General features: G+C 43.2%; 2 long non-coding RNA genes across 3 annotated transcripts; one reads left to right on the forward strand and one right to left on the reverse strand.

Moving 5' to 3' along the window:
• Positions 1 to 1939: 1939 nt before the first annotated feature.
• Positions 1940 to 9936, reverse strand: LOC105378084 (uncharacterized). 2 transcript variants are annotated; one of them, XR_943176.1, is made up of 3 exons: positions 9623 to 9936; positions 2351 to 2483; positions 1940 to 2157 (listed from the first exon to the last, which is right to left on the reverse strand). It is a non-coding gene; the product is annotated as an uncharacterized LOC105378084 (long non-coding RNA). The 2 variants fall into 2 exon arrangements; XR_943175.1 differs by having other exon boundaries at positions 2351 to 2678.
• A 203-nt stretch (positions 9937 to 10139) lies between these two features.
• Positions 10140 to 23052, forward strand: LINC02529 (long intergenic non-protein coding RNA 2529). Its single transcript, NR_125873.1, has 3 exons — positions 10140 to 10386; positions 19818 to 19959; positions 22670 to 23052. It is a non-coding gene; the product is annotated as a long intergenic non-protein coding RNA 2529 (long non-coding RNA).
• Positions 23053 to 26522: the final 3470 nt, after the last annotated feature.

Raw genomic sequence — 26522 nt, forward strand, 5'->3', positions numbered from 1 at the left:
TTCATTTCAACTGGATTCCAACCAAGTGAAAACACATTGAGAAATTAGGCCTTGCTCTAATCAGACAGAGGTAAGTTGAGAAGTATAGAGTGGTGGGAGGTAGCAGTTTCCTGGATGACAAAGTTCCTGGGCTCTCTCTGGGCTTCTGTGGTGGTGAGACTTGCCTAGAATTGCCACCATTCACAAGCAAGTATCTAAGGCCACCTCTGGTCCCAGGAGCACAGGCCAAAGGGAAAGTGCCAGAATGGGTTGGCCTGTGTTCACGCCCATGTTCGGTCCTGAGTTCTGTCTGAATCAGTGATCCCAATAAGCGGGCCGCATGGGGGCATGGCTGTCCTCCAAAGACTTCAGTCATTAAAGTTGTATGGTGTTCCCTTAAATCATCCAGTTACTCACTCACTTTGAATTGATTATGCATTAATTACTCTAAGTCTTGAGTAGACGCATACCTTGAACAGATGCATACACCATGTCTAATTCCTCCTCTGGACACATGAGGGCTCCAAGATCCTGGTTCCACTTGGGATATGATATCTCCAAACCCAGACCTGGACATGGGTGGAGGTAGGGGACCGGGAGCAGTACTTGATCACTGGATGCAATGAAGCAGCCAGTGGGAGTCAACATGCCCTGCATAAGCTAAACAAAAAGACAGGCACACGGTCTAACTGCGTTCCTGATCAAACGAGGAGGGCAGGAAAGCCGTGCTCAGGTAGGAGGCAATGGGAGAGAGACTCAGGAAGAGTGAGGTGGTTCTGAGCAAAGAGTGAGAGAGACAGTCTTGAGAAATAAAGAATTCACAAGCAACTTCTCAAATAAACAGCCTTTTGTAGCCTCATCAACATGTGACTACAGAATAAACTGCACTTCCTTTTAATGTCATGGTTATACAATGAAGTCCCCTAGCGTTACAATGGCCAGTAATAGCATATAGCACCCTCTGATTACATCTCCCTAGACAATTTTTTTAACATGTCTTAAAACATGCTACAAGATACTATTATACTTGTATTAGTTATCTGCTTCTGTAATCACAAGATAGTGATTTAAAACACACATTTACTATTTCATAGTTGCTGTGAGTCAGGAATCCACGCACACCTTACTTGGGAGCCTTGTCTTCAGGGTCTGTCACAGGCTGCAATCTGGTTATCAGCCAGGGCCAAGGTGTCTGGGAAAGGCTCGACTGAGTGAGGGTCCACACAGCTCAAGTGGCTGTGGGCAGGATTCAGGTCCTTGCCACATGGGACTCTCCACCATGGCTTCTTGAGACCAAGTGGAGAAGGCAGGAGAGATTGCTGGCAAGACAGCAGTCACAGTCTTGTATATCCTCATCATGGAAGTGACATGCCACCACCTTTGCCACATCCTGTTGGTTAGGAGCAAGTCACAGGTTCACACTCAAGGGGAGGGCATAGCACAGCCGTGAATGCCAAGGTGGGTTCATCCAAGCCATTTCACAAGCTGCCTACTGTGCTGGGCTGCCAGGATAAACCCCTACATCTCCTGCTTCCCTGCCTTACCCTCATTGCTGCCTTGATGCCACCTTGGCTGCAGTGACCCTAGGGACGTCCCCACACTTGTGCCTGGAGCTCCCAGAGCCCGTGACAGATTGGGCTCTGCCCGAAACACACTTCACCAAGAGCCTCTGAGTTTAGGAAAGCACACCTCGCAGCATAGCTGCGGCTGCTCCCGAAGGGCCTTCTCCTGGGGTCCACACGCAGCCCCAGCCTGGCCCCAGGGTTGCTCTCCCAGGAGCTCCTACCTGCATCCTAGCCCACACCCTCGTGGAGCTGCTCACAGTCCAGCCGCTCTCCCTGCCCCTTCCCCTCCCGCTCAGGTCTTCCCTTCCTGACCTCCCTGCCCTGCCCCGGGGCTGAGCTTTTCCTCAATGGCTAAGGCTGGGAACATCCCTCCCACGCCCACCCGGCGTGCGTGATTGGTGGTCACTGAGGATCACCGTCCTCCAAACGCGACGATGCAAGACGCTCTGGAATCACCCGTCCTCAGTCCCCCAGTCCTACGGTTCACCGAGGATGTCATGGCCCCAGGGGGTGTGGTGATGTTCAGCGCCTTTTGGTATTCTATTCTTTCCTCCAGAGTCGTGGGGAGGACACCAGCCAGATGTCCCTGCGGGTCTCCTCAGCTCCTGAGCTCCTGGGAGTGAGAAGAAGTTTCCTGGCATGGGCAGCCTAATTCCAGGAGGGAACGGTCCTGGGAAATGCCCAGTCCACACCATGGGACACGGCGCCTCGGCCCGAAGCTTCATTATTTGGGTGATTTCGCTGCATGCAAGGTTTGGCCATCCCCCCGGGACCAAAGGGAGATTGGAAGATATCCTCATACCTACCTCAGAAGGCAAAACCTCTTTAGGGCTTAAAATGTCTGCCTTTCCAGCTTCAAAATAATGCGAAGTCACATCAGGCGCCTTCTGCAGGCCCGGAGCGCAGGGAGGGGCAGTCAGGAGGCCTGGTTCTGTTGTCCTGTTGAAGAGCAGATGCTGTTGATGTGCTTTTTGTGAGATAAAGCAGCCCTGCAACATGCTTAGGTTCCCTTTATTTCTTCCGAACTTCATGAGGCACTTTCTCCTGCTGTTCCAGGATGGAGTGAAGGCGCCTAGCAGCCACCGTGCACCTGGCTCCAAGCTCAGTCAACACTTCAACCGGCCATCACCATCCCTGCTGGGGAGGAGGGCAGAAGCCACGGTGGGGGCAGGTGCATGTGTCTCCCTGTGGGTCACAGCAGTCCTCCTCCCCGAGATGCTGACATCTCCCACCCATGCTGAGACCCCGGCATTAGGGAGGAAGATGTGTGTGATGGGTGCAGAGGTGACAGCACCTGACCCAAGCCTGCCCCCACTTCCCATCGCCCCACAGTGCACAAGGCAATTTCCAGGTTGCCTTCTGTGGCGTGTGTCACTTGGGTGGGGGCAGGACGGGTAGAAAGATGAAGAGGAGGCAGGGATTCTGGTCTGAGGTCTGCCTGATGGAAGGGCCAACACCACTTTTCAGGAGGTCCCCAGCCCTGGCTGTGTGAAAGGCTGAGAAGGCAGAGAATCTTGCTGGTGAAGGGTGGGAGAATAATTTTTCTTGCTTTAGCTTGGTCTGTGAAAAATTAAACAATGTCAGATGAAAACACTGCCAAGCACAAGTTTATGCACTTCAAAGAATTTTTATTTTTTCAATCAGAGGAGACATGAAATCCCAGACTCTAGACTCTCTATTTCAGTTCCAAATTGTCAAAGTGCTGATGTTGCAGTCTTTCCTCGAGTTTGTTTGGAGAAAGCAGCAAACGTATGAAAAGGAAAAACTGTATTTTACCCAAATGAGCTCCCTGAATTTGTAGAGTGTATGATTAAGTGGAGCCTTGTTGGAACAAGAATCATTTTACATTCCTAAAGGGTGATTCTTTGCAACTCTTTGGTCTCAGAACTGGCAAGACCCTGGACGAATGATGGGAAGAAGAATTCAAAAATAATAGAGAATCTGGGGCTTACTGTGGGAAGGATGGCCGGCGGGCACTGCATGGATGCTGGCTGACTCTGTTAGCCCCCATGACACCGGCGTGGATCAGGGTCATGCCTTAGGCAGGCAGCCCTGCCCTGGGGGATCCTAGAGGACAGACCCGGGGTGGTAGATCCCACTCATCCCCAGCCGGGTGCCCTGTGCAGAGAACAAATGCAAAGCTCTCCTGAGGTCCCTGCATCTCCCTGTTATTAAACTTCCTGTCTGCATATCCACCAAGCACTCCCTGGCATGTGGACTGCTAACATGAAATTCCTTCCTTCCACAAGCACTAAACTAGAACCTCTAGGGGCTGGTCAGCGTCTCTAGGGAATTATGGGGGAAATAGATATGCAAACGACGGCACCTGGAGAGGAAAGGGTACCCTGAGGCACCTTCCAGAGGGACGTCTCTAGATCCTAGCTCAAGGAGCTGCAGGGGAGGGCAGCATGGGTGTCAAAACCGAGTTTGGAAGGGTGACCAGGAGTTTGCCAGTAGACAAGGAAAGGAAGGCATTCCAGGCAGAGCAGGAGCCTAGCACAGGCAAAGCAGGAGCAACACGCTTTAGGCAACACCATTAGAAAGTCTGTGTGTTTTGGAAAGTCCTCGGCATGTAACACTCTTCATACTTTTATTTCTAAGTGGCTTTTCTTGGGAAATAAAAAAGACTCTAGTGATGTGTAATTGCTGTGTAGGCCTCTTAAAACTCAAGGAAACATTCAATGAATAATTTTGCTGGGGTCAAAGAGAAAAAACCAGAACCAAAAAAAAAAAAAAAGAAAAAAGAAAATTAACGGAAGTAATGGCACTGAGCCTGTCCTCAGGGCACTTCCGGTCTAATGAAGAACAGCTGTGAGAACACACCACATGCTGCTGTTTGTGGCCTGTTCTAGGAGTATGGTCAGGGAGGCGAGGTGCCCCAGAACCCTGGAGAAGCAGGGGAGGCTCCCTGGGGACCAGCAGAGGCCAGGCTTGAAATGGCTCCTAAAGAAAGTGTGGGAGTGGTCAGGGAAACCTCTGTGGGTGGGGTAGATTCAGACGGAGGGCTCCTTGGTGTCTGAGGTATGGCAGGTGTGGGTGAGCACAGGTGGGAAGGAGGATGGGAAGGGGAAGGGACAGAGGTCAGGGAAGAGGTGACGAAGGTGAGATTAGGAGGGTAGCCAGCCAGGCATTGAGGGTGGAGGAGCCAAACCAATGCGTTGGATTTTATGCTATGTCAGTGGAGGGCCAATGAAGGATTTAGTCTGAGGAGTAGCAATAGCGGCTTTAAAAAACAGTGTGCATTGCTCTTTTCTTGAGTATAAAGTAATGCATGCTCATTGAAGAAAACATGGAGCATGTAGAAAGCACTAAGAAGAAAGTTAAAATGCAGAAAATTTAAGATAAATAAGAACTCACAATCCCATTATCTGAAAGAATGATAAGCACATCAAACTGTGAGCATTTGGTCTTTTTCCTCCTGTCTTCCAGAGATACCATAGTTGACATTGTTGGCAGAGGATGAGAAGAGAGACCACTGAGAGACCGCCCTACCAGTCAAGGTGAAAGGTGGAGCTGGGGCAGGAGTTCAAACATAGAATTTTCAGCAGGTTACCAAGTAGTCATGGTTTGGCTGAAGGTCTGCTGACTTTCTTCCCAGTGAAGAAAATGACATTAATATGCAGTGTTATCTGAGAAATTCAAAAATATTGTGAAACTGTGCTCAACAGCCAGAAGCTATTACTCATCTTTTCATTGGTTTCCTTTTCATAATGTTTAAAATATTAGCCTAAAGAAGGGAGAGCACAGAATTAAGTGGTAAGAAATCTACGGATCATGAAAATCGTTAATGGCCTTGAGGGACTGTATTGCTTTCTTATTCCTGGAGACGGGGAGTTTTAATCTCTCATCCCTGTCCTCGTCTCACGCGACCCTGGTGATTTCAGAATTACAACATGTTTTGACCCCCAGAACTCTCTACAGTGCTGGAAGGAAAGGATTCTTGAAATGAGCCAGAGCTGGTTTAGGAGAAAACCGAGACCCTGAGAGGTAATGAGATGTGACCAGGGGTCCCAGACCAGCTGGAAGAGAGAAGGGGGCGAACCTCAGCCTCACAACCTCCAGGTTCATCCCTTGTCTCTCTCATCATGACATCAATCCCACATCTCCTATTGATGCCCCACAAATTTATTTGCAGTAGGTAGAAACATGCCTACTCATGATTACTTAACTATCACAGGAATTAAAGGCGAGGCTAATACTGCAAATCACTTCAGTATGCTGTGCTTGGCTTCAGAAAAACCCAATGTACAGAAACAACTATAAGTCATTTTTTGCAAGACTTAGTTTTACAAAAACTATTTGTTGGAAGTAATCATTCTCATTTTAAGAGAGAAAGAGAGGGAAAGAGGGACAAATGTACTGCCAGAGGAAAGCTATTTTATCTACCTCTTTACTTACTTTTTATTTGAGAAAATTTCAAGCACACACCAAGCAAAAGAGAATAGTCTAATGAGCCCTCACGCACCCTTTGTCCAATGGCTATCAACATTGTGCCAATCCTGACTTTAGAGAGCTTTTAAAATACAGTTTAATCCACAAAGATTGTATTTACAATCAGCTTTTCATGTTCAAATCTACTATGTAAAGAAAGATGTTTTAATTTATTTCCTGATCTGAATGGACAGGAAGATTATATTTCTCAGTTGGTTCTTCACGGGTTTGTCTGTTCTCAGGGGACTCTGAGCACACATTCCAAGCCACAGATGGAGAGAGCACCTGGTCCTCCCTAGATGCCACTCCTGACAGCCCTGAGATGCTGAATAGGCTGCCACTGTCTGGAGTCATGTGCAGGATGGGGAGAGCAATGGGCTGCAGCCAGGAATGCCAAGATGTAGCCTTGGCTTTGCTGCTGAGGTGACCTGTGCAATCTGCTGGTCATTGGTGCTCCTGATGGGTCTCTCCAGGGACTTTAATTCTTTCACTCACAGACCATGAGTAACTGAGTCTGATGAGTGCCGCTGGTTTCCTGGAGAGGCGATTACTGATGACAGTGTACCCTGCTGTGCTGGGTGTGGGCACTGTGTGTCACCACCATCACCTGTTCTGGGATTGCCACAATGCGCATCACTACCTAGCGTGTTTGTTTGTCACTTTGTTTATTCTGTTTCGTTTATTGTCCAACTCTTCCAACCAAACACATATTCCTTGGATGTGGGAGATGCATCTTTCTTGTTTACCATTGAATCTCTATGAAAATCCACACCTCAGTTAGCTCACTGTCTGGTGGACCAGGTGGGATGCCGCTTACAAAAACACCCAGTGCACTCAGCTGCAGGGTGTTTTTATGGTGTTGCTGTAGCTGGCTCTTGACTTGCTAAGCCTTGTGCTTTCCAGATGTTTACCCAAAAGCATAACTGGGAGAGGAGTCCAGCCATCAGCTTCCCTCTCTTCCAGTTGGCAAGCTCTTCTAGGGCTTTCACTGAATCCTTGGACTTCCTGAGCTGTCCCACCCCACAGGAGACCTGGAGTCACTGCATGTCTCACAGACAGCCAATTAGTATTTATTCAGGAAGTGCCTTTGCTATTTAGAGTTTATAATATATCCCCCAGTTCCACAAGGAAGCCTGTGTATTTGGGGAAGGTACCGATGGCGGATTCTATCTTCCAAAGGTGGCTGAACCAATGCATTTTCCATCCCACATACTCTTAATATTATTGGACTCATCTCCAAAGAAAGGTGGTATCTACATTCCCTCCCCTTGAGCCAGAGAAGTCCTTTATAACTGACTTAGCCAGTGGAGCTCAGTGGACTCAATGCTGCAAGCCTACCAAAGCTGGGCAGGGAAAGGCACACAGCTCTTCCAGGCTCTCTCTCTTTCTCTGGAGGGTCACCATGTTGTGAGGAAGCCCAGGCCACATCAAGAACTCACATGTCAGTGTTCTGACTCAAGGCCTCAGGCCCAACCAGCAGCCAGCATCAACTAGCAGATATGAGAGTGATGACCCCCCCCAAGGATTTCAACACGCTGCCTTTGAGTCTTCCCTCGAAGACCCCAGAAGTCATGGGGCAGAGACATGCCACTCCTGCTGTTCCCTACCTGGATTCCTGACTCTCAGACACCGTGAGAAATAATAAAAGATGACTGTTGTTTAAGCTTCTGCATTTTGGGTCATTCGCTATGCAGTAACAATTAATACACAGACTTCTTGAGACTCTCTTTTCACTCACCGTAAGAAACACTGGCGATGAGTGGCTGGCCATCTAGTTAGAAGAGGGGTCTAGGGAATTTGCATTGCAGCTATGCTTGTGTACCAAGCATTACTGGAGAGAGGTCACCATGGAGATGCTACTACTTGGCATCTTGATGCCTGTGCAAACATTTCTGCAATTTACTAATCCCATACATGTTATTTAGTAGCCCTTCCATAACTTTGTAAAGGTGCAATACAAAGCTCTTTGAGTTATCCCTAACAATAGTTAAATAAGCTACCACCTGGAAAAATTGGCATATTCTTGAATCCACAATATTACTGGAGTTCCCTAATGGATAGAAGTGGACCCACCCCATCCCCATTCCTATCCTCACACACTGAACCTCAGATTGTGTAAATGATAGAAAGGATGCCAGCTTCTTCTTTAGAAGTTCAAGTCATTTTGGGGACTGGCTTCAAAACAACAAACAATCCTGTTTTTGGAGCCCAACGCTGTCATGATCTCCAACATTTTGTGTTAACGTTGTGCCTCTGGAATAAAACAGGAGGGGCAAGCAGGACGTCACAATAGCAGTGAAGACTCTTCTGAGAAGAAAGGGCTTCACAGAATGAGTTCTGTGGGTGCCTGCAAGTCTCCTTGCTTGTTGAGCAGCTGCAGGGCACAGGGAAGCGCCATCTGGGTATTCACCAAGTTTTGTAAACAAACGGCCTTCCACGCACTGGCAGGACACACTCCGCAGCAGATCTTGAAAGCTCGCTCCCCTGGAGACTTTCCCTAGGAAAGTGACGAGACTTTTCCAAAGGAGTTAAACTTAATGAAAAATGGGTTAGGAACGAAACAGCTTTGAAGAGGGATAGAAAGAATGGAGCAGTGTGTTATTTAGAAAGCTTTCTTCCTCAAGGACCGCCTTGCTTGCCCTATGATTCTCGTAGCTTCTCCTGCCACATTTTCCCCCACCACCCCCACCACCCCTCAAGCCCAGGAGCTGTGTTATTTCTGGTCCACCTTTGAATGAACTGGGATAAAAATACCTGGCTTTGCAAGTGTCACACTGATCTGCCGATGTAAGTACAGTAGATCAAAGAGAAAGATAGGGTTACGCACTTTCTAGGAAACGTTTGAAAACTTGCCATTGTTCCTGAAAATTTCGGGACTGCTTTCAATGTGTGAAAATGAAGAGGGAAAGTTTAGAGCTTCAGAAAAAATAAAAGGTAAATTTAGGGCTGGAGGGTGAAGTATTTGCCTTTGTAGTATTTTTATATTTAAATGATTATAGTGATCTTGCTCAGTAGGCTTGTTTCTCTATGATAAAGTTGTGGATTTTGTTATTTTAAAAAAGGAAGATAACTCCATTTTATTTGGGGGAGAACATAGGTGTTATTATAAGAATCCTTGTGATTTACCTAACTGGATATTAGGGACTGCAAAGCAGAAAATAAGATAATTATGATATGCTGGTGTTGCATCTCACCTGCGTTTAATCTGATCACTAACTTTAGAACCGAAGCCCTTCCCCTACCAGAAACTATAACTCTACAAAACCATTGCCAAGGGATGAGAATGATACCATTCAGCGGAACTACAAACAAGAAAGTCAAACTGGAAAACCAGAAAACAGATGGCTAAACTCTTTTCTAAACTTTTCCAAGAGCAGTGTTTATGCAGGTATGTATTTCTGATTAATCAAAATATAGATTTGAATCCAGTTAACATGTTTTGAGCACGGCATCTGTGCCAAGACCTTTAAACACACACACACACACACACACACACACACGCACACACACACACAACAACAACAACACCACAAACAGACAAGAAGGCATTATAAAGTTTTAGATATTAAGATAGGATGGATTAAACACCACAGGTAAGGGGACCCCTCACTCTAAATTCACCTTTAAAGATTTGGAAATTATCTTACCAGTAGAAGATCATCATTCCTTGTAGCACATCAGCTCCTGCTGAGCAGCGACCCTAACCTTGGAAGAGGACAGCTGTGGCTTGGTTTACCCCGCAGTGGTAGCTCTGTATTCAGAGCACAGTCATGTATTCAGAAGCACTCAAAAGAAAAAGAAGCAGAGGCCACCAGCTAAACCACTCATGGCCTCCTCAAACAATGACACTGAAAAGCCATGTGCCCCTTGGACTTGCCACATCATTGGCCTGGCTTGTGTAGCAGCAGGAGGCCAGAGTTAGGAAGACTTCATTTCTCCTGCCACTTCATCCCTTCATGCAAATAACCTGTGCAGCCTGTTTTCTTCCTGTGTTCTATTAACTAGGATATGAGGTAGAAATATGTCACAATCATGGGAAACATACAAAACTTGATGACTGAAATGTGCTTGTCTGTGAAGTGCCACCTATGCCTTCAAAGTGATAAAGATCCAGACTGAGTTGAAAAGAATGATAAAGACAGAGCTGAGAGGGCCACAGTTTTAGTGACAGCCTCAGCTGTGACAAAGGAGAGAAAACAGAAAGACCTGGGAAAGTGCAAGGATGAAGCAATTAAGTTTGAGAAATGTGATGTGAGGTTTAGGAAAGGTGGATTTTAGCCCCAGCAGACTTTTAGCTGGACACGGACCTAATACCTTGAGACTTCATTGTTCCCATTAAAGAAAAAATTATCTTCTGACTTTCTAGGGGTTTGGGGGTCCCAGATATCAAAAGATTTAAACCACTTAGGAGGTAAGTTCTAAGTTCTCTATGGAACTGCAATTATTATTTTTGATATTTTTGTTATATTATAATGCATAAACCTGGGACTGGCTACATACTTTGCAGAGTTCAGGAGAAAATGAAAAGGAGGGATTGCATGTACAAAATTATTAAGACTCACAGGCTGGTAACAGCAAGACCCTTCTGATCAGGAGGTTCTGCATGAATGCACTGGTCACCAGGCCATGAAGCGAGCTCTGCATAAACCAGCATCAGAAAAAAAAAAAAAAGAATTTTTTTCTGATGCTTGGTAGTCAAATACAGCTGATTGTATCAGAATGCGAGCAACACAGGGAAGATTGAGGATAAGCCCAACAAGGGCAGGTATTTTTGTTGTTTGGGTCACTATTTTACAGGAGTACAGGCTGCCCAGTTAAACATGAATTTCAGATAAACAGCAAAGAGGATGGCGAGGAGTAAGAAAAAACAAAACAAAAAAATTCTTGCTTCAGGATGGATCATTGTTTCCATAATCATTTTCAAGGATGCATACATAAATATATAATATTCTTAAACACTTTTGGAGACAAAATCTAATTAATTTATAGATAAATGTATCAACCATAGAGAGAGAATTGCTATATCACACTCTGGGACGGCTGTTTGCATTCAATTGTGCTTTTAATTTCTTATTTATTTATGCTCCCAAACAACTGATTATTTGATTAAATTGATTTTATTTCTTCAAAGATTTTTGAACCTTCAGTCTAAAAAGACTAAAAGCTTAATGGTTAAAGGAAAATGTATCTAACCTGGTGAGAAATTAGACACTGGGCATACTCTTCTCTATTTTACTTTTTCTCTTTCCGCTTCTGTATATTTTTCCTTGCTTTTTCTTCTTTCCTCTTTCCTATCTTCCTTCCACCCTGCACAAAGCCACCTGTCTTTTACCATGTGTATAGTACAGGTAAACTTTGAGTACTAACTGCAGCCAGCATTAGGCATCTAAACATCACATATCATGTGATCAAACTCAATTATTCAGAATGCTGTCCTTATTTTAACAGAGATATTACAACAGCCTTAAATACTAGCCTACTATTAATATTACTGAGGTGTATTAGTCTGTTATCACACTGCTATAAAGACAAACCTGTGACTGGATAACTTATAAAGAAAAGAGGTTTAATTAGCTCACAGTTCTGCAGGACGCACAAGCTTCTGCTTCTGGGGAGGCCTCAGGAAACTTACAATCATTGCAGAAATCAAAGGGGAAGTAGTTACATTTTCACATGGCCAGCAAGAGAGAGAGAGCGAAGAGGGAAGTGTTACACACTTTCAAACAAGCAGATCTTGTGAAAACTCACTCACTGTCACAAGAACAATAAGGGGGAAGTCCACCACCATAATCCAATCACCTCCCACCAGGCCCCTCATCCAACATTGAGGATTATGATTCTACGTGAGATTTGGGTGAGGACCCAGAGCCAAACCATATCATGAGGAAACACTGGCCTTAGCCAGAGTGGGTATAAGAGAGAATATACAAAGGCGTATGCATGAATACATAAGCATGTTTTTGTGAATGTCACTTTATTTAAGCTCAATTCTTTGGAGTCAAAGAAAACTCCATACACTGAATTCCCTCCTGAAAGTGGCCATTGTGGAGGATTCATGATGAATTCAAGTACGTTTGAAATCCTAGAGTTCTTCAGGACAAGTAAATAAACAGAAGTAAAGATCACCTCCGTTATGTAGGTGAGATTTTGGTTCTGCCCCAGGATGGCACAGAGCAAAGCTGTCCATACAGAGGTTCTGCATGACCCTCTGCAGTTGCTTCTGGGCTGTCTCATTCACAATCCTACCATTGGCCTGCTGGTAAAAAATCATTTGTAGAGAGGGACATTCCCCCCCTACCCCACCACCAAATACTAACTAACCTTGTAAGGCTTCTCCAGCATGTGGGGTTGCCAGATAAAATACAAGCTGCCCAGTTAAATGTGAATTTCAGATAAACAGCAAAAAAAAAATTTAGTATGGATATCTCCCAAATACTGTATGGAACATATACTAAAAAGTTATTTGTGTTCATCCGAAGTTCAAATTTAACCTGGCATTCTTTTTTTTTTTTCTTGCTACATCTGGCACTCCTTGGAGCATGGAATTTAGCAGAGCATGCTTTGAGTATTATCTGGGCTTTACTGAGCTTCTGTTCACACCCTTACAGCAAATGTACCCCAGAGTATAAAGAATATCGAAGGTCAGTTGGATCCCACTGGAGGAACTAAAGCAGTCACATTGACCAGCAGAAACGAAAATGGCGTGCCACTGTGTTAGGAGGTTGTGGGTCAGGGGCGCCCTGGGCAGTGGTGTCTTGGGGCCTGTGGACACTGTAGGGAGTTCTATGAAAGCTGTGTGAAAGCTCAGACCCACATAGGTGGGTCTGAGAGAGACGCTGTGTGTGCTGTTTGTTGTCTTCTCCAGTTAGAGGAGGCAACGGAGTATGGCAGAACTGTCTTCGTCATTAGTTTTCACTGGGATGTTTCTGCTTTGGCAAAATACTCATCAAATATCTGAGTCCGCAAAACGCATGGCTTGCCGGGAGAAGGAAACTTTGGGGCTGCTCCCAAGCCAGTGCTTGGGAGAAAACATCCCAAATAGGGGTGAACACAGGCTCATGAGCAGAAGGCTTTGGCCTCCATGGGGATATCAGGAAATTCAAGGTCCATTATCCTTTTTCCCTCTGGTAGAAGCACATGCCCATTGGCAGAAAAGACTGTGAAGTTTGGAGCAAGCTCATCTTTTTTCACATAGTAAAAGGGAGATTTAACTCAATGACTAATTTTATTTATTTAAGAGACACATAGCGTTTCTTATCTGCCAGGCGTTGTTCTAAATGCTTGGCAAGCATCAACTCACTAAATCTTTTAATAAACTGGGAGATAGGTTTTATCATTGACCCCATTTTACAGAAAAAGAAACTGAGGCAGAGAGAGATTAAATAACTTGCCCAAGGTTACACAGGTAGGAATCATCCCGGGCTATCTTTTAACTACCTTGCTAGAGTTCAAGGAGGGCTTGTTCCCACAATCAAGCAAGCATTCAGGTTTTTGTGATGACGATAAGAGGATGAAGATGTATGATGAGGCACATAGCTCCGTGCTAGCTCTGGAAGGGTCAAAGATACATGACCGCTGGCTGGCACATCATAGGCACTCTAGAATTACAGTTATTGCTGTTAGGCCTGGAAACCCTTATTGTGGGTGCCAGACCAGTGCAAGCTGCTAGGGACACATAGAAGAAAAAGTCCTTATCTCTGTTGCAGAAGTTGACAGGTATGAATCATATTTTCCTCCCAAACAGGACAATCAAGTAAGAGTGATGCAGTTAGCTGTGGTGAAGCAACTGGCCAAATAGTCCCTGAAATGCTCAGAAAAGACCACTAGTGATCTTCTAACTTCTAGCCTTTCTCCAAGCTGATTATCTGTTATCTGTATTTCCTAAAGATGTGCCTGGTGGCCACATTGTATACCCAAATATTCACTTATGTGATAAATCCACCAACATTGGCCACGTTAAACAATACCCAGGGATTGGGTATCCCTGAGATTTAAAAACAAGTTTTATTATTATTTGTTGCTGTATTTCCTGACATCTTAATAAAACAGATTTATGAAACAAGAGACATTAAGATTTGGGGTAATTGAACCTTTTGCTGATATTTATAAAATCAGAGGATCTCAGGGATGGCAAATACCTCCAAGTTGTTCTGGCTCAGCAGTCCACTGGGTTCTGAATTGTCCTCTATCTCATTCTTGCTAACTTCCAAGAATCCCATTAAGAGCCCAGATGCATACGCAGTGATTGTTTAAACTAGTTATAATGCTACTATATCAGGCAGTTATGATTTATGTTATGAACTTCAGCTTCACAGTCTATACTATATCTTATCCAGAAAACTCTGAATGCATTAAAAAAACCCATAGATTGTACATTGAAAGTTGATTACATTTTCTTGAAATACATATACTTCCCTAGCTAGAGGTTTGTCATTTTAAAAAAATCTGTTCAAAGAACCAACTTTTGGTTTGACTGATTTTCTCCATTGTTTTTCTATTCTTTAGTTTACTAATTTTCACTCTAATCTTTATGATTCTTTGCTTCTGCTTGCTGTTTTAGTTTGGTGCTCTTTTTCCAGCATCTTAAGGTGGGAGGTTAGGTTTTTAGTTTGAGATATTTCTTCTTTATTATTATGGGAATGTACAGCTATATATTTTCCTCTAAGCACTGCTTTGATTTCATCCCACAAATTTTGGTGTGTTGTGTCTTCATTTTCATTCATTTTAAAGTACTTTCTAATTTCCCTTTGACTCATAGTTTTCTTCTTTGACTCATAGGTTATTTAAGATATGTTGTTTTATTGTTACACCTTTGTGAATCCCCCAAACATCTTTCTGTTGTTATTGATTCTTAATTTTTTTCATTATGGTCATAAAAAAGAATTTGCATTAATCATTTTTAATTTAATGAAGGCTGTTTATGGTATCTTATATGGTCAATCCTTAAGAAGGTTCCATGTGCACTTGAAAAAAAAAGCCTATTCTATTGTTACTGGGTGGAGTTTTCCATAGATGTCTGCTAGGTCTACCTGGAGTTGGTTTATATGTTGATCACGTCTATTTCCTTGTTTGTCTTCTGCCTACTTGTTTCATTCATTACAGAAAGTTAGTATGAAAGCTTCAAACTATTATTGTTGAATTTTCTATTTCTCCCTGATATGGTTTGGCTTTGTTCCCACCCAAATCTCATCTTGAATTGTAGCTCCCATAATTCCCATGTGTTTTGGGAGGGACCCAGTGGGAAATAATTGAATCATGGGGGTGGTTTCCCCCATACTCTTTGAGTGGTAGTAAATAAGTCTCATGAGATCTGATGGTTTTATAATGGATTTCCTCTTTCACTTGGCTCTCATTGCGACTCTTGCCTGCCCCGATGTAAGATGTGCCTTTGCTCCTCCCTTGCCTTCCATCATGATTTTGAAGCCTGCCCAGCAGCATAGAAACATGAGTCCATCAAATTTTTTTTCTTTATAAATTACCCTGTCTCAGGTATGTCTTTATCAGCAGTGTGAGAACAGACTAATATATCCCCTCAATTCTGTTTGTTTTCACTGCATGGGATTTTGGAGTTCCAATTGTTAAGTACATATATGTTTTAAATTGTTATTTTCTCTAGATGAATTGACCCTTTTATCATTATAAAAGATTCCTCTCTATTTCTAGTAACTTTTTGGTTTGTTTTGAAGTCTGTTTTGTTTGATATTATAAAGTCACTACAAGGTTGCTGTTTGCATGGTATATCTTTTTCCATTCGTTTACTTCCAACCTATTTATATCTTTTGATCTCAAATGTGTCTCTTGTTGACAGCATGTAGTTGGATTTTGTATCTTTATCCAGTCTGATGATTTCAGCCTCTTGATTTGATTGTTATCCAATCAAATCTAACATTTAGTGTTATATTGATAGAGTTGTGTTTACATCTGATAGTTTGCTTTTTGTTTTCTGTCTCATGTTCTTTTTGTTCCTCTGCTCCTCCATTATTGATTTCTTTTGTATACATAAATTTCTTTCACTATGCTTTTTACTTATTTTCTAGTAGTTACTCTAAGGGTTTACCATATATGTCTTAATTTATCAGAATTTACTTCAGACCTATACTAACTTAATTCCGGTGAGATATAGAAACATTACTCCTATATAGCTCTGTTAACCCCACATCTGGTCTCTTTCACAGGCACATTTGGTTACCTGCTTTTGATCCTGTGTAGATTATGCTTTTTCTGTTTCTTTGCCTCACAACTTTTTGTTGATAACCGAACATAAAATTTTATGGTAGCGCTGGATACCAATACCCTCTCTGAGCCTTGTTGTTTTTGTTTGCTTGTTTATTTATTTTGCTACTTGGCTAGACCATTCTAGGGATGTCTATTTCCCCAGTAGTGTGAGACCTCTGATGTTGCTTCTCAAAGAGTGCAAAATTAGAAACGTGTTCAGCCAGGTGGGATGAGATTTGTTTGAGCAGGGCTTTCTTTGACTATTTCTTTCCCTTGTCACAGCCAGCTGATAGGCTCCACTAACTGCTTGCTGATTGCTCAATTGTTTACAAGAATGCCCTGATAGAAACTGTTCCACAGTCTGATTCAATTAAATTTGAGCTCTTTTGCAGGGGTAGGTGTGAAGTCAGTGTTTGAAGTTTGTTCTGACCTCAGAAGGGCTCGTCATAGCTATGTCTTATAATTGGTTCTCTCTCATAAACGAACTGGTCTATTATTTAGCTTGGGTCTCTTGTGAAGTCTCCTCTTAATTGCTTAACCCTGAATCTTCCATTGCTTATGATAGTGTCTTTAGGCTCGAACTTCCCCACACTGTGTTTCAAAGGCAAACTTTAGAAGGCTTGCCTCTCCCCCTGGGATAAATCTTTGAGCCATGGCTCCGTAGCTGGGGATAGGAATAGTGGTGACTCCCTGCTTTTAGGAGCAGGGCACCAGGTGAGATGGCAGCCTCTGGTTTTCCCAGCTTATCTCTCCTAATATGGAGACTGCTGCATATTGGAGCAGAGTCTGCCCTATGAACAAGCTGAATGAGAGCAAATGGGACCCCAGTACTCTCAGTGTGCTATGGCTGATTGAAGGATGGATGGAAGAAGGGATTCCTTGACCCAGCTGCACTTGACTGGAATTTACACTTTGCAATTCTTAGCTGGGGAGAATGAGAAATGCTGGCAGCCTGCCCTTCCTGGGAAGATGCCGCAGCCCTCGATTGAGAACTGAGGGGAGCAGGATCTTGCGTTCTTGGCTGCACTCACTTGGGATGGAGTCTCTGTTATGCTGAGCTAGGAGAGAGAAAGGAGGAAGTGGGTTGAGGTTCAAATGCCAGACTCTTACTGTTCTGGCAGACTTTTAGTAGACAGTCTGGAGCAAATTTTCTGCATTTGCTGTGTGCCCTTAGAGCAATTTCCAGAAACTTCTGATGGTTGTTGTTGCCTTTTATATTTTCACCAGTTATGTGTGTTTAGTGGAGGAGCAGAGCCATGCAGCAGCTCACATGGCCATTCTGGGAATGAGAACATATTCTTCCAGTTTTCAGTACTTTTTTAGGTATGCTTCATGCACACAAAGAACAACTTTCACAATTGTTTAAATGGCCTATAAAAGGGGAGGGGAAATACTTTACTTTATATTCACAATGTCACTGACCATACATGGGGTTTCAGTTTGATTGGTTAGTTGTTTGTTTATACACTACCAGCCACATCAGACAGGACTGGAGATGGTTTAAAAACTGGATATGCTATAGCAAGAAAAGCAAAACATTAATTCAGGGAAGCAAGGCAAAGGGAAAGTAAGAAATTCTTAGAGGTTTTTCCAATAATGATTATGCATTTTGTTAAAGTGCTTGAATTTTCTTGACTGCTCACTAATGTAATAAAAAACAAACATGGTTTTTCAAGGTGCCTAGTCTCCTTAAAGGGACAAATCATAGCCTCTGCTTTTTTGGGCTGCATTTTCCTATAGTATTTAACCTGTGGGATCAGCTACTCATTAACATAGGTTTTACAAGCCATTTGTTTTTATGAAACTGTTCCTTCTGTCCTGTGTTAATCTCCAGACTTCTGAAATAACTGCCTATCTTATTCCTCAGATATATTCTACTAAAATTTATTATCACATTGTCTTATAAGAATAAATAACTAGAGCTGAAATGTATATGAGTAATTCATTTCAGTTAATTTGGAATAGCTTGTTCATAGCTCTGACTATATAGAGATACCTGATAGATATACTACTACATTCTCCTTTAGTCTTGTTATTTTGGGCCCAAAGCACCAAATCAATGTCCTTTGCTTTTATTTCAAATTGTATTGTCAGGTCACAAACATTAAATTCCCACAAAATTGTCATTTAATGAAAGATTCAGATCTTTAGAACATATAGTTTACTTGATACCAAATAAAGGTGATTGCATTGCCACTGGAATTTAAAGCCTTGGAGCTGCATTATTCAGATTTGGTAACATCTTTTGTCTACCCATAGTTATCTCAGTCCTTCGTTCTTGCTAACGAAACCCTGACTTTATTCAGAGTGGCAATATGACAAGTTTCCAGCAATGATTCAGGATTGCTTTAGGCCAATTATGATGAGCTTTCCTCTTTGCCATATGAAAGGAGTCTTTTCCCCACTCCTTTACACCTGCAGGTGGCTGTGGCCCTGATCTAGTCATGAGATGTAGAGGGAGTCTACTGGGTCAGGGAAGGGGGATCTTCTGGGAAACATCTTTCTCTGTTGTAAAAAAGAAATCCCTTTTTTCATCACATTTCTTTTCCCTTCCTAAAATAAATGTACCCATGCAAAGATGTAATATTAAACCTGTGGCAGCTATTTTGTAATGCTGAGGGACAAGCCTGAAGATGCAAAACTCATATCCTGAAGATGGGAGAGACAAAAGGAGTCTGTATTCTTAACAACAATTTTTAAGCTGCTGCAAAAATCTGGAAGCTTATCTTCAAACTTCTTGTTATGTAAAATAATTAAAAACTACTTTATGGCTTAACTGGTTTTTAGTCAGATACTCTGACTAGTCAGATATTGGAGCTGAAAGTATTTCTAATATATACAGTGCTCCTATGAAGTTGTTAGTTAAAATCAGGTGGATAGCCAAGAATTTTACAATTAAGGCAGAAGAATTAGAAGCTAACCTTAATGTAGGCTAGTATTTAAAACGACCCTTGAGCACTCAGTTTACTCAGGATTTGTGTCACTAATAATTTTCAGACCTTGTATTTAGTAGTTCATTGAAAATCCAAACAGAACAAGTGCTATTGGTTTTATTTTTTTCCCCTACCATTTGCATCTGAATAAACATGCCTGGGGCTCTGCAGGAGACCCCTGTCAGATTTTTGAGATGTCTGCTAGACCCTCCCTCATTTGGTGAGTGTATTAATCCATTTTCACGCTGCTGATAAAGACATACCTGAGACTGGGCAATTTACAAAAGAAAGAGGTTTAATGGACTTACAGTTCCATGTGGCTGGGGAAGCCTCACAATCATGGTGGAAGGCAAGGTGGAGCAAGTCATGTCTTACATGGATGGTAGCAGGCAAAAAGAGAACTTGTGCAGGGAAACTGCCATTTGTAAAGCCATCATATCTCATGAGACTCATTCACTATCACGAGAACAGCACAGGAAAGACCCGCCCACATAATTGAACCACCTTCCACCAGGTTCCTCCCACAACAGGTGGGAATTGTGGGAATTACAATTCAGGATGAGATTTTGATGGGAACACAGTCAAACCATAATAGTGAGTGAATCTCACCAAATATTTATTGCTTTTAGATATCTTGCAAATTCCTATTCTAAGCTCATGGAGAGAAATGTGTAAGCTCTTTCCTTTCTTGCAGGTTTCCATTGGAAGGAGAAGACTGTCTTTAGCCCACTGCATCCCCTCAAGCCATCCCAAGCTTTCTCTGTGCCAGGGACTGGACGCACGCTAAAATACGAACCTGTGTGGACTTCTTTCTTAGGAGCCTTTGCACCAGCACAGTTGAGTTGTTACACCATTCACTTCTGTCTCTAACTTAACAACCCACCTTGGGAGGTTTAACTCAATATATCTTTGTTACTATTTATAAAATAGTGTGTCTGTTCCCCATTTCCTCTTCCTAAATGCATTGACTTGCTCTTCTACTCTTATTTCAAAACATAAAAGGAGAGCTCTCAAGAAGCTGTTGGCTCCTGCATCCCATCAGTCAGCACCAAAACCTTACTAAGAAAGATGGTTGTCTATTTTTCATCCTATATGGTAACTTAACTTATTAAACATAGTAATACATTAGATTGGTATATGACTTAGAGTTTACAGGTGCTTTTATGATAAATATTTTGTCATTTAATGTCCTAGGAATTTTATGTGTTGGGTTTTTATTCCTCTGTTTAAAACAAGGAAGTTGAGAGCCAGAGAGATGAAGTGACTTACCTAGGGCCACATTGATACATGAGGCGGGAAGGGAAGTGCTGAGTAGAGAAGGGCAGGGTCCCTGGCAAGGGCTCCACCACTGGGCCTGTGCCCACAAACCTAGGTGAGGAAAAGCACTCCTGTTTTCATGCCCAAATGTAGCATTTTCCAAGACCGCTCTGACCCTCCACACCCCCAACCTGTGCCTATAAAAACCCTGACACCCTAGCAGGCACACACACAAGCAGCTGGACATTGAGAAAAACACAACGGCAGAACACATCAATAGATGCTGGCAGGTCATTGATGGCGAAATGATGTGGATGCCAAGGGAAATTTGACCAAGGGCGGTTGGAGGAGAGCCCAGCTGCTGAGCAGCCCAAACTCCAGGGGAAGACCACCTTCCCACTCCATCCCCCTTCTGGCTCCCCATCCATCCACTGAGAGCTACTTCCACCACTCAATAAAACCTTGCACTCGTTCTCCAAGCCCACACGTGACCCGATTTTTTCGATACACTAGGGCAAGAACCCCAGGATAGAGAAAGCCCTCCATCTTTGTGATAAGACAGAGGGTCTAACTGAGCTGATTAACACAAGCTGCCTGCGGATGGCTAAGCTGAAAGAGTACACTGTAATACACACCCACTGAGGCTTCCAGAGCTGTAAACACTCAACCCTAGACACTGCCCTGGGGTTGGAGCCCACGTGCGCCACGACCTGCCTGTCTGCCTGCTCCCCCTAGGGGTTTGAGCTTTGGGGCACAAAAGAAGCGAGCCACACCCCCATCACATGCCCTGTGAGGGGGATAAGGGAAAACTCCTGTCCCGTTTCAACACGGCATGACTCGCAAAGAGATGTTAGGTGTGTGTCCCGGTTCTCCTTTACCAGTGTTTGAATAGAGGGTGAAGATGGCAACCCTGGAAGGTAAGTTAGAGAGTGTATTTCATTTTTATGCATAGTACATTGAAATTCTATGTCTTACTCCCTTTTCCATGTGGGATAATTAAACCTGCCATGTGTCAAGGGAAGTTGAGTGAGATCAGGGAGGGGGGTGCTCTGAAGAACCAGAGGCAAATATAAACTCAGGAGGGGCAAGGTCAGCCCCAGGAAGCAGCATCAAATCCTGGGTCTCCAGAGTGGGTGCGAGATGACAAAGACACAGGCAAGAGGCTGGGAGCCAGGGCATCAGGACAAGGCCGGAGGCAGAGGCCAGATTACATGGAGCAAAATAGTGTGATCTGGCTCACAATATAAGTTACAAATACAGAAAAGGGTCTTGACCGGGTTCTGACCAGGCACTGGTCTGGTGGCACAGGAAAACTGTCCCACTGGAAGCCTAAAGAAACAAAACCACTGAGGGTTGAAGAATGGGGTTTCACAGTTGCTCTAAAATAGCCATCAATCAATGCAAATGTGAACTGGGTCTGACCAGAAATGCTCTGATAGAAGGTGAACATTATTTTAAAATATTATCCTTGAAAAACATACATGAAGATAAATGTCTTTGACCAGAGACAATAGAGTTATGCAAATTCCGATCATTCAAACTGCATATGGGAAGGAAGGAGGTGCATCCTTGTTGCCAATGAAGACGCTGAGGAAAAGCCAAGCACCGTGGTGGGGTGAGGATAGGCACCATAGAAAAAGAATACTTTCTGGCATCATCTTGGTTGAAGAAGGCAATGGAAGTCTTTTACAACTAAGAATAGACAGCAACTCCTGAAAATCTTTTAGCTCATAGTTTCATCTGAAAAACAGTCAAATTTTGAGTCCAGTCTAGCTGAAAATGTGCATCCCTTGTTATGGGGTGGGTGCTGTTTCCGTGGATAGAGGTGATTCTGAAGGGGACCAAGCACCCTGGTTTGCCCAGGACTGACGGTGGTTTCCCTGGACACAAGACTTTCAGACTGGGAAAGTATTAGGCAAACCAGCACAAGTTGGCCATCAGCGGCAACCTTTCTCCCACAATGACACAATTCTTCTTAGAATAACCCACAGCTGCCAGGATGCCCCTCTCATGCTCACCCACGACATCTGCCAGGTCAGGGCCAGGACACCAGACAGATGGAGCTGGGGATGACCATGGTGTGGGGCATGCGCTGGGGCGGGCAGACTCCTCAACAGCTGGGCTCAGCAATGGCCTCTGCCCCAGCACATTTTCTGAAGAATTTAGCTGTCTATTTTCAGAGGAAAAATACAAATGTTAAGTCCTTCGTGTATGCAGTAGACATTTAAGAATTCCACTTCCACCCCACCCTCAAAATTGGGCTTTATTTATTTTTATTTTTTTTACCAGAGAAAGAGACAGAGACAGTGATGGCGAGACTCAAGCACGCATATCTTGATGGACTCCAAAATGCTCTTCCTAATTCCTTCTCTGTGGCTCATTCTTCATCCTCTATTTGCATTGGTATGCCAATTCATTGCTGACACTTCAGTGGATGACTTGGAAGTGATTTTTAAAAAATTATTACATCAATGTCAGTATGACAAACTTTGCCAGTTCAAATGTGTACTGCCTTGGAAGTGGCATTGCATGAGGAAAAATTATTTTCTAACAAAAATAGGAATAAAATTCAAAATTATATATAAAAATCTAAAATGAAAACGACAGAACCTGTAGTAACCTCTGCATGATGTAAAGGTGGTTGCAATAAAAATCGCGAGGAAAACTGAAAAGCAGACTGCTTCATTCTCCTTGTGATTCATCGGCCTTGGGGTTTCAGCCTCTGAAAGTTAGAACATGTGTTTGTTTGATGTGAAAAGTATCCAGAGACAAATATCAAATCTCACATAAATTTTTAGTACCTTGGGTAGATTGTAAAATCAAGACTGCTTCATGAAGGCAACAGGACTCTAAATAAACTCTGGAACTAGAGTCAGTCTTTTTATAGTGTGGATACTATATGTAGGGTAGGTAAGTTATTTTACAGAATAAGAAATCTAGACATGAAGACTCAAATGAGTTTAAGGTTTTGCCTAAACGCATACAACTTTTAAGCCACACCTGGGCCAAACCATTTGACCCCAGATCTGTGCTTTTCCTGCTATCCCACATGGAAATGTATCTGGATGATGTGGAATTTCTCCTGTATTCCTCGCCCTTTCTGACTATACCTTGTGTATTGGTCTAGTTAGGTAAATGCAAGTACACGTAAAGCCCCACCCCACCACCTATTACCTGCAATTTTTTTAACCACTCTGAGTCATAGCTGGCTGTTTAAAAAATGTGCATATAAATTCATACCTCGTGGGGGATATTGTGAGACTTAATGAGACAACATTTGTAAAGAATTTGGGGTAGTCTTTGGCACATAGTAATAGCTCAATAAACGGAAGTGTAAGGTAGAAAAACTACATAAAAATAACACTCTGTAAGCAAACTTCTGCAAAAAATGTCATTATAATATGTCAAATCGTGGTATGCTAGTTTTAAAACTGCCTTTGCAAAAATTATAACTAAGACAATTATTACAGTCAAAGAGATCTGACCTAACTCACCCCATCTTGCTTCTAACGTCCAAACTGTCCTTGTCCATTCCTGGATGTAGGCCGAACTCATTTTGGGAGGAACTTAGTTTATAGTTTAACTTTGAAACAAAAATGATAACAGCCTTTTCCCAAAATAAGCCCCCTTCCTGTCTGAGGACTAGACTTCCTTTGTAGTACTAGCCACAAGATTAGAGATGATGGTTTAGGGGTCATGCAGCTGGAGGCTGCAAGATTCTCAGCCTCCCCAAATTGCTCCTGGGGATAACATCACTACTGTCGAACCTAAGATCAGTGCTTGAGATATTTTGTAGACCCTGCACTGGGTGAATCTATTGGCACCACTCAGATCGATAAACTAGCTCATCTGGTCTTGTGGCTCCCACCAAGGAACTGACTGAGCGCAAGAGGACAACTTTGACTCCTTATAATTTCATCTCCTACCCAACCAATCAGGACTCCCAACTCACTGCCTCCCTACCCACTTACCCACTAAATTATCCTTAAAAACTTCAATCCCTGAGTTTTCAAGGAGACTGATTTGAGTCATAATAAAACTCTGGCCTTCTGCACAGCTGGCTCCATATAAATTACCCTTTTTCTATTGCAATTCCCCTGTCTTGATAAATTGGTTCTGTCTAGGCAGGTTACAGTTTGCAAAGCAGTTTGAGTCATCAGCACCACTTGTAAGGATTTATTAAATCTCCCCTCTGTCTGGGGGCTGTGTGTATGTGTGCCCATGCCTGGATGAGTGTGGTGTGTGTACTGGGGTCAGAGCAGACAGTATAGGGCAGGTTTTAAACAAATGTGATACCTGGGCTTAGCTTTCAAGAAGTTTCCAATCTTGTTGAAGATTTAACTCTGGAACTGAAAAATTCACAACTAGATCTGATGTTTCTCAAATTAATAACAGAAGAAATAAGACCTCCAGGAGCTGACAGGAGGGAGTGGGCAGCCCTGGCTAGAGTGACCCAGGAGAGCTTCACTGAAGACATGGGATTTGCAGTCACCTTGGAAAGATGAAGAGGATCCGACAGGCAGAGAAGGAGCCAGCCATGGTGGCACGTGCCTATAGTCCCAGCAATGGGTTTGGGGTGGGGTGGGCAGTGGGAGTTGGAGGGAGTAAGGAGGCTGAGCAGGAGGAGATTTGGAGCCCAGGAGGCTGTAGTGAGCTATGATTGCACCACTGCACTCCAGCCTGGGTGACAGAGCAAAATCCTGTCTTAAAAAAAAATAAAAAGCAAATAAAAGCAGGCACAGAAGGGCCAAGAGTTCTTAAAAAATAAAAAAAAAAAAAGGAAATCTCAGAAATCATCTTTCTTCTTGTTAAAGTAAGTTTAGCCTAAAGCTGACTCTTTTCATATTTTAAGCCCAGCCTAAAGGTTTCTTCACACATAGTAAACTGAAACATAACTAGATGTGTAAGCAGATTAAACTACTCTTATGCCAGTCACCAAGTTTTGACCAATTAAAGGGGGCTAACTTTTCAAATCATGTTCAAAAAAGACAAACACCAAGCTGTAACCAACTGAGCTGTTTCTGTACCTCACTTCCGTTTTCTGTCCATGAATCTTCTTCCACCACGTGACTGTGCTGGAGTCTCTCTGAGCCTACTCTAGCTCAGGAGGCTGCCCAATTCATAAATTGTTCTTTGCTCAACTAGATTCCATTAAATTTAATTTTTCTAAGGTTTTAACAATCCTAAATTTGGCCATCAATAATCCAGAAGTCAAGACATAATAGATGTCCCTATCAGATAACTCTGAAGCCTGTGTCAACTCTAAGCTCTGCTGGCATCTCTGCCACAGGGAAAGAAGAAAAGGATGGGGAACCACACAGCAGGGACAGGGTGGGGCCCTCTGCAGCAGGGGCCTGAGGTCAGCTGTGGCCCTGGGCCCATATCCCAAGCTCTTGATGACCGGCTGGCACTTTGCAAAATATGGAGTCCTGGGAAAACTTCAACAGCTCATCTTTGGCAAACAGATAGCTATACCACAAGAGTGTACCAGCCTCAATATACCAGGGGCTGTAGCTGGAAGAATGCAGTGGAATTCCATGCATCTACCTTTCTAGCCTGGGCTTCTCATGGCACACTGCGTAAATGGATATCTGGGCAAGCAAATGAGTGGCAGATCACACTTTCACAATCTGGCTTCACAGCAGTAGCAACCTTTTGCAGAATTTGAAATGGCATTATTCACTTACCTCTGAATAATCCTTATTGCATCCTTTCAATATTCCAGAAATTGAAATTTTATTAAAATTCAAACTCAGGAAAATGACATTTATTCCACCTCAGGGAAATGGTATTAATAACATTATCCCACCCACTCATATTTTTCCATGAGCCCTCACTGACTCTTCCCCCCAACTTCCTTTAATATCCAGGATGATTAATGAAAATTTTATATTTGTAGTTCTAGCTAATGGTTCATTATTCATGTCTGTAATGTTATCTAAGAGAAGGCGCTGTTGGCTAGGCCATTTTGATATGCATAACCAGCCATTTCTCTTACATTTGAAACGTCTTCATTCCTGTAATATTTTCGTGGCTGCAGCAGCTGTTGGACATTTTCTAGTTTTTGCACAGCTTTGCAGCTGTGGAAAAATCTTTACTAAAGGTTCTCCAGCTTAGTTTAATGCAGATGTCTGGACCTAGT

The sequence above is a fragment of the Homo sapiens genome, chromosome 6 (assembly GCF_000001405.40).
Source record: "Homo sapiens chromosome 6, GRCh38.p14 Primary Assembly".
Classification (NCBI taxonomy): domain Eukaryota; kingdom Metazoa; phylum Chordata; class Mammalia; order Primates; family Hominidae; genus Homo; species Homo sapiens.